Raw genomic sequence first — 17061 nt, forward strand, 5'->3', positions numbered from 1 at the left:
GATAATACAGAGATGTAATTCAGGGAAGAGACCAGGAAGCAGGAGCTGTTTGGATCTCAGCTCTAAGCCATATCCACATGGGCTTATAAAATTCAGGCAGTTCAACAAACACAGGGTAAGTCCAATTGATCATCTTGTTCCAGGAATCTCTGCTGCACTGTTTGCCTCCTTGATCAAGGTGTTAATTAAGTATGTTATGATAAAAACCGGTCCTTTTGCTAGAGAAAGTTTGAGGAAAATCTCACAACAGACGGCTTTAAGCATTCCTCAGATAAGATATAAGGAATCCAGGAGAAAACTGGATATAAAAATATATTGAGGCAGTAGAAAGTATCATTATCTGCAAATGAATATTTGTGGCATGGAGAAGAGCCCTGTAACATTGGGCTAATAGAGTAAAACCTAAGACTTTCCAAGAAGCTTTAGAACCCTCTATGAGAAAATAAGCAGGCCACCCAGGCCCAGGTGGACTAAAGGGATCTTATTTTTTTAAGGTCAAAATTAATAGGGAATAAGCCAAAACTATTTTCTGAGATGCTAGAATAATATTTTTTCCATTTAAAGCTACTTCTAGTTCATTAGAACTCATTAGAGAATACTTGATATAAAGTTGATTATGTATCAGATATATAAATCTCACACTGAAACATAAAGTTTCTCTAATAGTGTATGCCAAAAAGTATATATGAATATGGTTCCTTTTCTTCTGTAAGACCCATTATTGTAATTCTCTAATTATATAGTGTCAGCATCTACTTTAAAGAGAAACATTGCCCATGCATGCCCAGTATATTTCTGGTAGAAAATGTGATAAGTGGACCTATGCTCCTTTATAATTATTAATCTTGGGGAAAAATAATTTAAGGGCTTATTAAAACCTTATAAATTGAAAATTTTCTTTTTCTTATCAGAAAAAAACTATAATCGCTTTTTACAAAAGTTTGGATAATTATGTGTCAGTATTCCTAATAAATTACTAATATGAATACTAGTTATGGCCACAGTAAGGAAAACAATGAATAAACTAATTGTTTAGTGGTTTGTGCTGTCTTTACTAAAAAAAAATACTGATGACTATGAATAAGTGTCAATGTGTTTGCTTTTCTGTTATTTTTCATAGGCTGATATATTTAACTCTCATAATGTTTTTAAGCTAACATATATCCATTTTTTATATTAAGCAATCAGTAAGTATCTAAATAGTTTTTCCTTCCTTCACAATTACTTATTACTTAATTACATAATCATATGCTATTATTGTTGGCTAGGCACCTTAGACATTAATCACTTTCCTCAACTAGTGACAGTACTCTGAACGTGGGATGTATATGTGTGTTTGTGCATCCATATACACATTGATAGATTCTTTGGATAATGTTTATATTTATGTATGTTGCACATTTAAGTACTATAGACTTCCATTCAGAAGCTCTAATTCATTTATAAATTCATTCAAATATTTCTTAAGCATCTACTATGAACCAGTGCCTGTGTTCATTCTAACGAAGACAGGGTCCCTGCTCTTAAGAGGTAGTTGGGAAAAGAAAACAAATATGTTACAAGGGCAATAAATGAGTTATGTACAAGGTAATGAGTAACTCTCCTTTCTGAGTACACACTACAAGTTAAGCCATATCTTAAAACTGTAACAATTATACACAAAAGCAAACTAATGTAGTAGGCACATTCATCTTGCCCTCTCAAATCAAGATGGTTAGAGGATGTGTGTGGTGCCTATGTGTATACAGTCACTCTGAGACTATGAGGCATAGAATGAAAATAATTTTGTTATAATCTACCTCACTCATATACACATTCATAGTTGCCTTGCCCAGATACTGAGAACCATTTTGGATCAACACAAGTCATTTGCATTATTAATTGCCAATCATGATGATGCTCAGAATTGAATCACTTCCATCCATACCTAGTGGGAAACAGTTCTTTTGCCTTTTAAGGTCATTAGATTCTGTTCCTAAAGCTTGAAAGTCACAGTGGCCCTTCACTGTTTGTTCAGCTGATCACGAATCAGAGGTAATGACATTTACATTGCTAATAAACTTTGCATCAAGTGTGTTAACTCTTGGTTTGGTATAGTTTCTTCTACCTGAGAAAAGCTTATTTGACCTCCTCTATGAAATCTGAACATTCTCTTACTTATATATCCATAAACACACACTCATATTAAATCTAGAAGTGCATGAAATTCCCTAATTATTTCCATATGAGAATCAGGAATGATGTGCAAAACAAATTAAAATATGTGTTGTTACTTTATCCTGACATACACAGTAAATTACCTGACAAATCTGGGAACACTAGGAGAGCACCTTCCAGTCATTATGGTTGACATAAGACTGTGTGACAATGACCTCTTATGTTGGGTTTGTAGAATTAGACTAATAGAAAAATATGTATTTTGATGGAGATTAAATCCTGGCTAATGTGGAGAAAAACTGAAAATTTTATTAATTAGGCTTTTCAGTATACCAAATTTCAAGCAGCTAAATCTTTGTTTCCTTAATATTTCTTTAATCATAATTATTAGCATATACTGAGTGTTACTGGCTTACTGGTGTGAGATAAAAACTAAGAATACCAAACTCAGCTTCTTTTATTAATGAGAACAAAATGACCTCAATCTAAAACTAGATAACTAAATGACCTCATACCAAAGTTAGATAACTAAAAAATCCCACTGGCTTGCTTAAAGTATAACTGACAGCTGTTTAAAATATCTGCTAATTGTTAATTGCTTTAATCTGTTGCTTGACCAGGCATGAATATATACATGAATAAATATATAAATAAATGTGCACAAATGTTGATCATTAAGATGCTCATATCTCAATAAAATCCATATCATAAATTTTATAACATTTATAAACTTGTAAAGTGTTTGGAGATCTGTCAATAGCTCATATAATTTAAATAACACTTTATCCTAAAGTCCAATAAAACATAAATTCAGAGTTAAATTTAATGAATAGGATTTGATATGTGCTTAAAAATAATAACCAACAATTTTGAACAATTTTCTATGTAGCAGATGTTTTGTTATTTCTATGCATTATATAATTTGATTTTCATTAGAACACTATAAGGTGGACTCTATTATTTGCATGTCACAGAGAAGATTGAGAAATTTTAGTGAGTTAAGTAACTTGCCCACTTACTGTTAATAAGTGACAGAACTTGGATTGAAACCAAATTTTAGTGGCTCCAGAGCCAAATTCAGCTCATATTTGGTTTAATGTGGTTTAGAAATTTGAAGGCCTGGAATGGAATCTCAGTGTTAATCAACTATTAGTCCTAAGACCTTAGAGAAATATTGAACATTCCAAACTTCAATTTTCTAATATATAAAATAGAGCCACTGCACCATCCCAATCATTTTCACCAAATTACCATGAGGATTAAATAAATAATGTAAGCAAGAAAAGTGCAGAGTGCTCTACAAACATCATTTTATCACATTTTAATTTCTTAACATCTTATAACTCCCAGGGTATTCTGTGGGTCCAAACACTGCCATTAAACCAGAGATCTCATTAGAAAAAGAGAGTTTAGGAAGCCACTAACGTAATCTTCCACCATAGAAAACTTTAGGCAGGTTGCCCAGAATGGCATAGGGAAAATACTAGAAAAAACACTCACTCTTTGTGGGTATCATAATAAATGAAAGAAAGACCAGTGTTATGGACTGAGTATTTATGTCCCCCTTACCCCCATAATTCATATTTTAAAGTCCTAACCACCAACGTGACTGTATTTGTAGACAGGCCAGGAGGCCAGGTAAGAACGTGATAAAGGTCAAATGAGGTAATAAAGGTGGGCCCTAATCTAATAGGGCTAGTTCCCTTATAAGTAGAAAGAGATATCAGAGCACTCTCTTAACATTGGAGCACACAGTGAGAAGGGGGCATCTGCAAGCCAGGAAAAGAGCCCTCACCAGAAACTGAATTGCCTGAAGACTTGTTCTTGGACTTCTCAGTCTTCAGAACTATGAAAAATTTGTTAAGCAAGTCTATGGCATTTTGTTACAGCTGCCCAAGCAAACTAATATAGCTGGTATCATGTTCATCCGTCACATTGCAAAGAGCAGGGCCAACTGAACTCTGTCGAGCTGCCAGCTAGGGAGCAGTGTGGTCTGACAAATCACATGAGGGGCTGACAACCTGGAGTTGTGGCCTATGGAATGTAAGAATGTCCTAGGCAAGGTTAGCATGAATGGGGTTCAGTATAAACTACTTTCCCTGGAATGAAACTGTCCAAGTTCAGCAGGTTACTGTAAATATCCTTAGGAAATAATTAAACCAAACCAAGAAAAATGGAAATAGATCCTTAAAGGTGCAGTCCCATGTATGTAAATACAAATTATGGCAAAAGCTTGAAACTGAATCCATGCAAAGAGTAGACAGGAGCAAAATTATGATTACAGAATTTACAACTGTGCAACAAAAGAATTTCTACATTAAAAATAAGTAACAGTTTACTTTGTATCTTTCCTTTTTTACCAAGCATGGTTCCTTCTAATTCTACTAGAGTTTCCTGAACTAGAAGGGAAACTAGTTGTTACATATAAAAACAAGTACAGTTAAAAAAATTACTTCTGCAGCTTATTTTCCTCAGGCTGAATAGAAGATCTTATTTTTTGTAAAGCTGTGTTTTAATTTACAAGAAGATGAGCAAATTTTCAAATGCAAACATAGTTTCCTAGGAAGGTCTATCTTTAATTCTGAGTGATTTAAAAGTCATAGCTGGTAAAACGTTTCTCCTTACCTATTCCTTTCACACTAATTATCTTCCAGATGATTTAATGAGAATGTCATTTGGTGAGCATTTATTCCATGTAAGGCACTACTCTAGGTACTTATGGTAGGCACTGCTAGTTGTCTTTCCAATCTCCAAAATATCAGAAGTATGAGCTCAGCAAATTGCTTCCCAGATACAGAAAGCATTTCCCAGAATTCCTTGCAGCTAGCTGGGACCACATGACTGGGTTCTGGCCAATGGGATATGAGTAGAAGTGATAACTTCCAGGTCATGCCCTTAGAAAGGTGTGTTTCCTCCTTTTTTCCTTCCTGTAATCTGGAATGTGGAAGTGCACACCAGAAGTGCCTAAGCAACAACATGGAGTAGACTGGGCTCCCGATAAGCTGTAATACCATTTCTGAATTGTTAGGTGAGACAGAAACAAGCCTCTGTCTTATGAAAACCACTTTATTATTGTGCTCTTGTTATAGTAAACTATCCTGTATTTTCATTAATAGAGGACTGTACATATGCCTTGTAAAGTCTCACTACTCCAAGTTTGCTAGCAAATTTAGGCTTAGAGAGATTTTAAAACTTCCTCATAACCACTTCGGTAGTAAGTGGTGAGGCTGGTTTTTAAATCAAGTACTTTTCTCATTAGATATTTTTTACACTAATAGAGAGAAAAGACTAATTTATAGAAAATTAGAACTGTGCAGTTTTCAACCCCTGATCTATTAATCTCACAGGATTATAAAAAGACTTTAATTTCCTTAGATTAGCATTAGTGCTACAGACCCTTATTTTTCTAATAAAGTGTCTAGCAGTTGGTTACCAGCTCCTCCAGGACTTATATTTCATAAAATGTTCCATTAGGAAAATTATGGAGAAAAAGTATGCTGATTCTCCTGGACTATGAAATGGAGAGCTGCTAGTCAGGATGCTATAACAATTTACAGAATAATACACTGAGCATGCACGATAACTCAGAAACAGATCAGATGGGGTTTTTTGAGTGTGCGCTCTCTTCCCCGGTATTATCCTTAGGTACTCCTTTAGTTCTTGAGGAGACATCAAGGAACAAGTTAGACAAAGTCCCTACACACATGGAGATTATACTCAAATGCATCCACTATAGATAATGCCCTACAAAAATTAACAAGTTTTCAATGTGTGCCAGTAATTTGCATTTTAAAAATAAACTTTGTAATTTGGAATAATTTTAAATTTATAGAAAAATTACAAAGATAGTAAACAGAGGGTTCTCATATACTCCTTACCTCATTTCTGCTAATGTCAACATCTTATGTTATCATGGTAGTTTTGTCATTAAGAAACCAATATTTTTTGTTGTTGTTGTTTTTTGAGATGGAGTTTCGCTGTTATTGCCCAGGCTGGAGTGCAGTCATGCAGTCTCAGTTCACTGCAACCTCTGCCTCCTGGGTTCAAGCGATTCTCCTGCCTCAGCCTGCTGATTATCTGGGATTACAGGCATGAGCCATCTCGCCTGGCTAATTTTGCATTTTTAGTAGAGACGGGGGTTTCACCATGTTGGTCAGGCTGGTCTCAAACTCCTGACCTCAGGTGATCCACCTGGAAGGTTCTTTCAAAGAGAGGAGGCATGACCTTCTTCACCCTGTCCTATAGTCTGCTGCTTGCCACATAGACATGACAGGCATTTTGAGTACCACGGTCACACTTTAGGCATAGTAAAATGTTGAGGCTAAAAAGGGCTGGGATTTCTTAATGACTCTGAGGAGTCATCAAAGCAATCCTGTATTTCAGACCTCCAGACTTCTTTTATGTGGGAGAAAAATAAACTATCAATTTAAGCCATTATTATCAGGGCTGTGCTTCTGTGTCAAATGCAATTTCTAACTAATATAGAGAGTTTGGAGAAGAGGCAGAAGGAAGTAACATTTATTGAGGACTTGCTATATATTAAGTACTTTATATATTTTCATTTATGTAATCATCAAAACAACTCTATGCTTATTAGTTGAGAATACTGAAGATTAGTGAGGCTAAGATTCTTGCTTAGGGTTATATGGCTCAGTTTTCAAACTAAGCCAGAATTTAAACCAAACTTTGTTTTCCCATAACAGCATGCTAAAATATTTTGCATATAATAGGTACTCAGACCTATTAGTGGTTACTAGCAATGGATACAAACATGTACATAGTTATACCTCACTCAGCAAGTAATACAGGTAAATATCTAAATAAATACAATTATATATCCTTAAATAGACAACAAAATAGAGACACACATCCATAGTTTCAGTCTTCCTACTATCCCCATGATCAGTATCTCAAACAGTGGAACTGGCAGCAGGGCCATTTCAGGAGTGAAACCTCAGATCTTACTGCCCTCAGTCCACATATAAATTATACATTTTCTCTCTGGGCCAGAATGAAAAACCATTCAAACCATCCATCAACATACCCACTCAGTTCATACATTCATATTTACCGAGCATCTGCCATGTGCCAAACAACCTGCTACTTGTTGTGTACACATTGTTGAAGAAGACATAGTCCCTGTTTTCCAAAAGCTTATAGTCTACTGGGAGAAACAGAAAAATAAGTAGGTAATTACATTAGAGCAGAGTTTTTCAACCTTGGCATTAATGACATTTTGAACTGAATAATTCAGTGTTGTGGGGTGCTATGCACTGTAGAATATTATAGGGATGTAGGCAGCATCCCTGGCCTCTACCTACTAGATGCCACTAGCATCCTAACCCCTTGTTATAACAAAAAATATCTCCAGACATTGTCAAAAGTCCCTGGTGGGGTGGGGAGGGCAAAATAATCCTCCTACCACCTATCCTCTCACTCCCTAAGCCACTGAGAACTGCTGCAATGCAGTATAAAATACTATAAAATGACAAAAGAAAGACGGGCATCGAACAACATGAGTCTAGGGGCAGGAAAGTTTTCTGAAGGAGGCAACACCTTCACAAAGGCCTGAAAGTTCCATAAAATTCAGCCAGATGAAGAAAATATATATTTCATATGTGTATCAGGAAGGCCTCTGAGCATGTGCAAAGACTCAGAGTTTATAATGAGTACAACATATCTGGAGGACTAAAGGTGGCTTAGAAGGCATGGAGTGGGGAAGTATGCATGAGGTAAGTAGGAAAACCTACATATGCCTACCGAGGAATGCAGAGGAGAAGAAAGAAGGGGTTCAGTTTTGGATATGTTGAATTTGAGTTGCCTGAGGGACAACCAGGTGTAGATGTCCAAAAGACAGTTAGATTTCCATTTCTGAAACATAGGGGCATGACTCAGGCCAGAAGAATGAACACCACCTATATATAGATGCCATATGTATAAATGAAATGACCCAGGGAGAGTGTAGTGTTTGAAAGAGGAGCCCATGGACCTGACAGTGACAAGGGAGACAGAGGTGAAGGAAAATCAGGGCAGTCCTGATGTCACACACAGAGAGCAAATGAGGAGAGTTTCATAACATAGCATAAAGGTCAAGTAAGATGAGGAGTGACACACATCCACTGGATTTGGAAATTAGGAAGACATTGGTGACCTTTGCCAGAAGTACCTTATTGGTATGTTCTGGGTGGCAGCCAGCTTACAGTGGGCTGGAATCAATGGCATGGGATAAAAGAGAGATACCTTCAAGACATTTGGCAGAAAGTAATGGAATGATGTAAAGACAGTGCTTATGGTAGGATAAGTAACAAATGTGCCCAGAGTAAAAAAGGAAAACATTAGCATGAGTTCTGTCTTCAGGTTATGTGGATACTGTTTAGAGGCTGCTCTTGTTTCTGGCTCTCAGAGTCTCCTGGGTATTTATATTGACCTACCTCATGGAATTTCTGAATGTAAGCACCAATGGATTGTTTTTGCCTTTTAACAGAGCACCACATGATTCAGGGTGTCTTTATAGTACCTATTTACTTGCCTACGGTATGTCTTCTAAATGACAAATTAACTTTAATACCTGACTCATTCTGCACTATGATTATAGGGCTCCCTTTAAAAAGAGAATGACTCCAAAGTTGAAAAGCAATGAATTCAAAACAATATGCCATTATATCTGTCAAGATCTAAAAATATATTTCCATTAAGTGTGTTTATGAAAATCCTTCCTTGAATTGAGAGGTTTCAGTATGTAATCTAACAGTCTTGGAATAATTGACTCATGGGAGATGAAAACTGAAAGGATGTTACAGACTTTCCTCCTCTTCCCTCAACCCTCATTTAATCAGTGATTTGATAGGAATCACTTTCCTCACATCTTATAGTTCTGTTCCTTCTACTCGATGGCTACACTGTGACCTTTATCATCTCTTCCATGTACCTCTGTAATAGCCTCCTGAATGGTTTCCTTGCTCACCTTTGCCAAGCCTTTGCCATACTTTGCAAGAATGATCTCTCTAGAACACATATACGAACAGTTCACAAATTCTACTTAGAACCCTGTCATAGCGTCTCACAAATTCTGGAATCCTTATGTCACAGAAAGACTTTTCCATTTGTTCCAATGATCCTTTGCATATTTTATCTTATACTTATATTCCAGCCATAAAGGACCACTGTTAGGTCCTGGGGCTTTATGCTGACTCACTTCTATAGACGGGTGCTCTTATAGTTTCCATCCCCATGTTCATCTGGGTAGTGGCATTCAAACTCAGTTCAAGCATTTCATCTGTTAAGTCTTTGTGAATTTCATCTCTCTCACCTAAACCCAGATAGGATTGACAACTTTTCTTTTGGTGCCCCCAATGTACATAGTACAAATTTATGTAACAGTCTCGAAACCACTTTTTTGCATGCATTTGTTTTTATAGATGTCTTTTCTATTAAACTGTCACTTCCTTGAAGACAGGGGCTGCTTTTTACATTTTTATGTCTCACCAAAACATGGCATATCAGCAGCCCTGTAGTATCTGTTTAAAGGAATTTAGTCTAAGCCTCTATTATTACCAATAAGGAAACAAGGCCCGAAAGAAGCTAAATGACTCGCCTAAGGTCACTCATCTAATGAGTGGCTAAGTGAAGAATAGAAGCTGTAGCTGTTGCCTGACTTACAGCTCTTGTGTTATATTCGGCTGCCACCCCATTGACTTAAAAGGAGGGCACCCAGGGCCCAGCTCTGTAGGTTGCCAACTTGGTTCAAGAAGGTTTTAATGTGAAATATTTAAGTAAATATTTAATGAGGAGCTATTACTCTTTTTTGGTTGAAAGAAACAGTGAGCTAGATCATTTTAAAATGATGTATTATTGGCTGGGCATGGTGGCTCATGCCTGTAATCCCAGCACTCTGGGAGGCCGAGGCGGGCGGATCACGAGGTCAGGAGTTCGAGACCAGCCTGATCAACATGGTGAAACCCTGTCTCTACTAAAAATACAAAAAAATTAGCCGGGCGTGGTGGCACGTGCCTGTAGTCCCAGCTACTCAGGAGGCTGAGGCAGAAGAACTGCTTGAACCTGGGAGGTGGAGGTTGTAGTGAGCCGAGATCATGCCATTGCACTCCAGCCTGGGCAACAGAGTGAGACTCCATCTCAAAAAAACAAACAAAAAAAATTATGTATAATTTTACTTTATATTCACCTTCCTCCCTACTCCCCACTCCCTTCCACCTGGTTGACCTTACCAATTAGCACTTAGGTATTTTTAAAGGCCTTCAAAATCTTTAAATACATACCAGCTGAAGACAAACTAATATGTTACCACATTCTTGTTGGCAGAAGAAATACTTGTCTCAGATTAAGAAGTTACTCTAAATATTTCATAAAATAACCTATAATAGGTTAAATTGTTTTAATTTATTTGGCTTCTAAAACATATGAATAAAAATGAGAGAGTAATAAACTCTCTAGGACTTCCCCAGAATTATGTGACTAAGTGGCTTTTTATGAGAAAACTGTCTTTGGAATAGATTACAATTTTTTAAGTGACCATGACGATAACTAGTTTGTCCTTTTCGTTCATGACCACAGTAAAACAGAGCACTTAACTGATGAATCTGTTTTATTTGGAATGTTTTAATAGTTCTTGGTATATAACATTAATATGTAAAGACCTTAAAGAGCCCATTAAAACACTGCACAACAAGCTGCATTTTAATAATGCAGAGACTATCTCAGATGGAGGCTAATTTCTGTTGTTTAGGTACCATAAACAAAAATAAAAACTTTCCCAAAAAGCTGAAGCTCTAAGTAAAAGGTTTAAAATGCACATGTCCTACAGATGGCAGAACTTAAACATCACTCCCAGAAGCACAGGAAAAAAGAGAAGATTTAAAAAATTCCCTCCAAGCCCAGGCTTGTTTCAAGTCTTCTGTTCATAAGAAGATCAAGGGTACTATGAACATTTAACTTCTATTTTCTCCTAATAATAAGTCCCGTTCTTTAATCTGTGAAATAAAACAAACTTGCCCCATGCTTAGGGTCTCTCAAAAGATAAAATGGTCTTTCATATTCCTTTAGGAGTTGATAGCACTTGAATACAAAGACCTGACATACTGAGGTGAGGTGAAAAAATGAGGGCCATTTGTCAATGCCAGTTTCTAACCTCCATCGGAAAGGCAAGCATTTGGCAGGCCCTTCTCTCTTTTATTTTTTTTCCCCCCAAGACAGAGTCTCGCTCTGTCGCCCAGGCTGGAGTGCAGTGGCACCATCTCGGCTCACTGCAAGCTCCGCCTCCTGGGTTCACGCCATTCTCCTGCCTCAGCCTCCCGAGTAGCTGGGAATACAGGCGCCCGCCACCATGCCCGGCTAATTTTTTGTATTTTTAGCAGAGACGGCGTTTCACCGTGTTAGCGAGCATGGTCTCAATCTCCTGACCTCGTGATCCGCCCGCCTCGTCCTCCCCCTTCTCTCTTAATGAGCAAAACTTCTGATATTAAAAAAATGCTATTCTGCCTGGGCAAACTTTTATCTCAAAGAGGGGGAATGAATAGGGAAGATTATTTTACTCATCTTTTATTGAACATGCTAGAAGTTAAGACTCAGTCCTGCCATTCCCCATGCAAGCAGGGAGAAAGGGGGTGGTATTTGAGTTCTGTCACACTTACCCACCATGATTGCTAAAATCATTTTCCAACTTAGACTCTCTCTCCTGGGAAGGAGCCCGAGGCCATGAAAACCACTCATTTATCATATGCCACACCACAGTGATCCTCTGAGCAGACATCCCGGACTGCCATAATTTGCTTGACAGCCCTGAGGTCAGCCTGCCTAGTGACTGAAGATTCTTTTCTTTTCCATCTTCAAATGTTACAATGCACTGCCCTTTGTGTATGTGGATGATGTTTCTGACCCACCATCAATGGTGGTGAGTCTGAAAAGGAAAATGTGATGATACAATAGGGCTGAGCTTTAGCGGCTATACACAGAAGGCAAATGTCACAAAAAACAAGAACTCTTGCAAAATGCTGCCCAGCACTGTAGAGAGAGCTCTGCAACAGTCTACATGTTAGGATTTCAGAAACCTGCTTCCACCTGACCTGAAACCTCTTGCCTCTGTGGTATTTTTCACATTTTGGTCTTAGTTTTCAGGCCAATTTCTATTATCTGAAACTGTTTCATGAGTTAACTGGTACCCCATATCTTTTCAGTGACAAAGAAGCATTAAATAATAATCATACCCAAGCACCTTGGGAAGAATTAAGGAAGGTATGTCAGCTTTAATTTTGAATTTTCTTGTTACTTGTCAGTTTGCCTCTCAGACTTAATACCAGGAGGGAATAAAAATCATCATTACTCTCTAGCTGCTCAATGGCATACATGAAATGAATAGGAGGCTTAACTCTGGTCTAACTGGCTCAGTTTCTGCTTGTATCAGCAGAGAGCCAGAGACTGAATGATCCAGCTTCCTGTCCATTATCCCATCAAGTCCAAACCAGGTAGGGATGCCCAGACACATGTATTCCATAGGGAAAGAAGAACACCAAAGAGGAGAACAAAAGAAGTCTCGGAAAAGGGAGGGATGAATTTATTTTTAAAGTGGGCTAGTTGAGAAGTAGTGTGAAGATTTCTTTAATCCACAGCTCTTACCTGTTGCGCAGAGAAGGGGAAAGAAATGGTAGCTCTCTCTTACACCAGTAAAAGCCTAGATTACATGCCTATTTCCTATTTGTATATACCCACTGATGCTGAGCCTAATATGTGACTATCTTAGAGGGTCCCAGAGTTTTAAAATAATTAACCAAGTCTCACTTTACCTCACTAGCTCTATGATTAAAAGGAAAAATGTCAATGAGACACCATCAGTTTAGTCACTGGATACAAGCAGGTTTGTGAAAAGTCCCACTGTGCATGTCTTATGGAAAGCTATGTATTGGGCCAACTTGAAAAGAGGATGTTATTGTGATGTGAATGCTTATTACTAGTCTGAAACCTACTGTTGATCTGCTAATTTTTCTTTTGTGAGGCAGATCTAATTATAGTCAGATATACAATTCTGTATTCATTAAACCGTCACCAAAGTGATAAAAATGACAATGGGAAAAAATTTAGCATGGCATAGCAGAAAATACATGTTTAAAAAGGCCTGGGTTAACATCTCTGCTATTGTGTGGGGTCTGTATGTGACCCTGGAGAAGTCACCTAACTTCTCTGATCTTCTGCTGCCATTCCCTGTAATGGGGAAACCATTATTTACCTCAGTGGGTTGTGCTCATCTTATAGGGTTATCAGCATTGAACAAGAGAGGGCACATACCCTGGAGTCAGACCACTGGGACTTGAACTAATGTTCCTCAACTTCAGACAGCTTAGGCAAGGGAGTGAACCTCTTTGTGTCTCTGATCTCTCATTTGTAAGAGACGGGTTATGTTAGAATTTGTTTCATGGGATTAAACGAGACAATGTATACATGGGGTTTAAGCCCAATGCCTGGCAACTGGTACTTCTACCTGCGCCATTTTGCCTATTTTACCTGTGACTGTTGTTACCATTATTTTACCATCCAGAATATACTAGTATTCACTAATTTGTGGCTTTATTTCTTTATTTCTCCATTTTAGATTCTTTTTCTGCACTCCTGAGAATTTTACGTGTTTAATGCTACACAAATATCATTCGGTTATTTCAGCTTCCCCTTGAGATAAATGTTTTTACCTGACTGATATGGTTTGGCTCTGCATCCTCACCCAAATCTCATCTTGAATTGTAATCCCTGTGTGTCAAGGGAGGGACCTTGTGGGAGGTGATTGGATCATGGGGGTGGTTTCCCCCATGCTGTTCTCATGATAGGGAGTTCTCAGGAGATCTGATTGCTTAAAAGTGGCAGTTTCCTTTGCGCTCCCTCTCTCTCTCCTGCTGCCATGTAAGATGTCCCTTACACACCCCTTGCCTTCCACCATGATTGTAAGTTTCCTGAGGCTTCCCCCACCATGTGGAACTGAGTCAATTAAAACTCTTTCCTTTATAATTATCCAGTCTCAGGTAGTATCTTTATAGCAGTATGAAAATGAACTAATACACTGACCTACATTTACTTATAATGACTATAGTACCAACAGTCCTAGAAAGTTAAGGTTTAATGGGATGTTTGGGATTTTCTAATTATTCACTACCTGTTACAAAGATAAAGTATCTTAGTCCCAGAGTGGTTCATGATTCATTTACACACACACACACACACACACAATTCAAACCCCTAGAAAGTTTCTTTGTAATAATAGAAAATTATTTTATGTTATTTTTAAACTTCTTTTAATTGTATATTTCCTATTATTTTCATATGATTACAAACGTTCCCTCTGTTCTTTCTATATTATCTGTATAGTGTGGTTTCAAAACTTTTTTTTTCAGCTTTCCAGTAGTTCTTAGATTAAGGAAAAATGGGAATATTTATATTAGAACATGTCTTACTTTGAATAGAATATATACCTTATTGACCAAGGAAATACAGAGAGCAATGAAAGGGCTTTGGGTATATGACTCCCAAGCAGTATTACAGAACCCAGTGGGAGGAAGGGGTTGGCCTGGCTAATACTGCTTTTCTTAAATGACTTTTCTTAAAAGTCATTTAATGTTCATCTCTAGAAAGCTGTTCTTTGCTGATGAAATTTTAACTTAATCTTTTCTAAACAGGGCTAATTTAAAAGCACCTCAAAACTGTTCAGTCCAAATGGTGACCTCAGTACTTGGTGAGGCTTCAGGGTAGAGAGTAAAGCCACTGAACTTTCTCTCTCTGCTTGGTTTATACTTTGCCTAGCTAACATTAGATTCTCTCTTTTTTCCCCCCATAAATTGGATATGATGGAATGTGTGGACTGTCCTCATTAATAGATAAACTGAGGCTCAGGCAGAACCTTTCTGTGATTTATCAAGTGTCAGAGCTGTAGGTTGAATCTTGAGCTTCCCTCCAGGGCCATTCTGTAAGATCACTTGGACCCCAGGGATCCTTCCGCCCCAGTGACTTCAGGTAGCAGCTCATTTTCTTTTTCCTTAGTGAAAAACAGGCCCAGAGCATGCCCTATATAGTCCATAGTGTGAAAATGAGGTGTTGTTAACAGCAATATAATTAGGTATCTTGTGATTACAAATTAGGCAGAAACAATATCTTTTCAAAAGTTACACCACTAAACCTGCACATGCTCCATTTATGAAGAATAAATAGCTACGAATCCTCTAAACACTGAGACAAATCTCAAGACTGGCAGATTCTCTTTCCCTGCTCTTCTACCCCTTTACACTGTCTTCCAGAAAACACGTTGCTCTCTCAGCAGTGGTGCAGTTAAGAGCTCTCTACACCCTCTTCCTCTGGATGTTCAAGCAGGCAAATATAAAGTCTATTTGGAAAAAAAAACCCTGTTCATTTAAATAACTTAAATGCCATTTTTATAACTCATAAGTATAGCACTGACCACTGTAATTTAATAGCCTCAGTTAGCTGGATGGCTAAAATACACAATTCAATCATAACATGGGCTGTACTATTTTCGTAGAAGGCTTTCCTTTGGTAATAAGTACACCTCACTAAAAAACTGAGAATGAAAGCATGACACTGTGATTAACTCCATGTCGTCTTTACCACAGCAGGAACTCACAGCAAATTCTACCCTAGGAAAGTGCTAATACTTATTAATTGGGAAGAACACTGAAGAAAAGTATACCGTAAGATGTTTGGACACTATTTTTTTTTACAGAAAAGAATATAATATGAAAACTGCTTTGGAATTATGTTCTATTGTTTCATGGTCCATATGGGGTTGTTGCATTATGTTAATTATTAACAAGATTAAAAAAATTAAACGGAAGTATGTTAGTTCTACTTGAAGGCCGTATGTCTAAACTGCTCATGGAAGGTTTTTGGCAACTCTAATCCTCATATACTTTATTTCTCTGTGTCTTTTTTGTTATTGAGAGCAGGCCCCAATGGATTCTCAAAAGTCTCTACGACCTTATATTAAGTACATTATAAGGGAATGTCAATTTTCATATGGGAATATGGTCTGTTACAACCTACTTGGGGATTCTAAAACCTAAACTTTTGCAGTGAGCTTTATCTATCCAACCCACCATAAAAAGTTACTGTTCAAAGGGAAGACAAAGGAAATAACTTCCCCAGGATTGAATAGAATTTTCCCCAAACATTAAGATTGCCTTCAATTATGATAAAAATGGATTACTTGCTGTCAACGGGAATGATAGCAAAACCTGGATTGAGGGAAGAAACACTTTTTTGAAAAACTATAATAAACACTGAAATAAAACAAAAAATAACATTCAGAAATTGTAAATGAAAAAAATATTAAAGTTTCTGAAAAAGACATTATTAATTGTTATTCTGTTTGCTGAACATTCCAAATATTCAGTTTTCCATTTCAATAGTTTTTCCTTACCAAAAATTATTAGCAACAATGGTATTCTTGAACAACTTATTTTTTAAAAAGCCACAAGGAATACGTTTGATGAAATCTCCATTTATATTTCTGAAATACAATTTCAAATAAGAATTCTCACTAGGATTATTTTTCTTAAATTACTAAATTGAACATATCCTCTCATTTATTATACATGTACAAGAATGCTGAGTAGTTCAATTTTCATGCGTAGAACAATTACTTAAATGCTTTAAAACACTCCCAAAAGATAACATAGTTCTGAAGAGTACACAGGTACTCAAGTATCAAGAAAAGCAATTCTGTCCTTATGGTTATTAACAAGAGACTAGCTAAGCCTGCTTCTACCAAAATGTCAACTACTGTCAACATTTTTAGAGAAAGTTCTTACGCTTATCTATACCATCCTTTAACTCATCCAAGTTATAACTAGGGTGACGATGTAATTTATTATCCAAACCAGGAAAGTTTAGAGAATG

General features: G+C 37.1%; 1 protein-coding gene across 19 annotated transcripts in view; it reads right to left on the reverse strand.

Annotated features, from left to right (window-relative positions):
- ZNF385B (zinc finger protein 385B) overlaps window positions 1-17061 on the reverse strand; it is a 419631-nt gene that overhangs the window by 134765 nt on the left and 267805 nt on the right. For 2 of the 19 annotated variants that reach the window (NR_104234.2, NM_001282725.3), the window contains exons 1-2: window positions 9122-9160; window positions 7229-7321 (exon numbers count right to left, since the gene is read on the reverse strand). The exons of 16 other annotated variants lie outside the window; for them this stretch is intronic. The gene's annotated coding sequence lies outside the window, so the exon portion shown is untranslated. Of the gene's footprint in view, window positions 1-4782; window positions 4926-7228; window positions 7322-9121; window positions 9161-17061 lie in introns of those variants that run through there. One more of the 19 variants, NM_001352814.2, reaches the window with a different exon arrangement.

The sequence above is a fragment of the Homo sapiens genome, chromosome 2, assembly GCF_000001405.40.
Source record: "Homo sapiens chromosome 2, GRCh38.p14 Primary Assembly".
Taxonomy (NCBI): domain Eukaryota; kingdom Metazoa; phylum Chordata; class Mammalia; order Primates; family Hominidae; genus Homo; species Homo sapiens.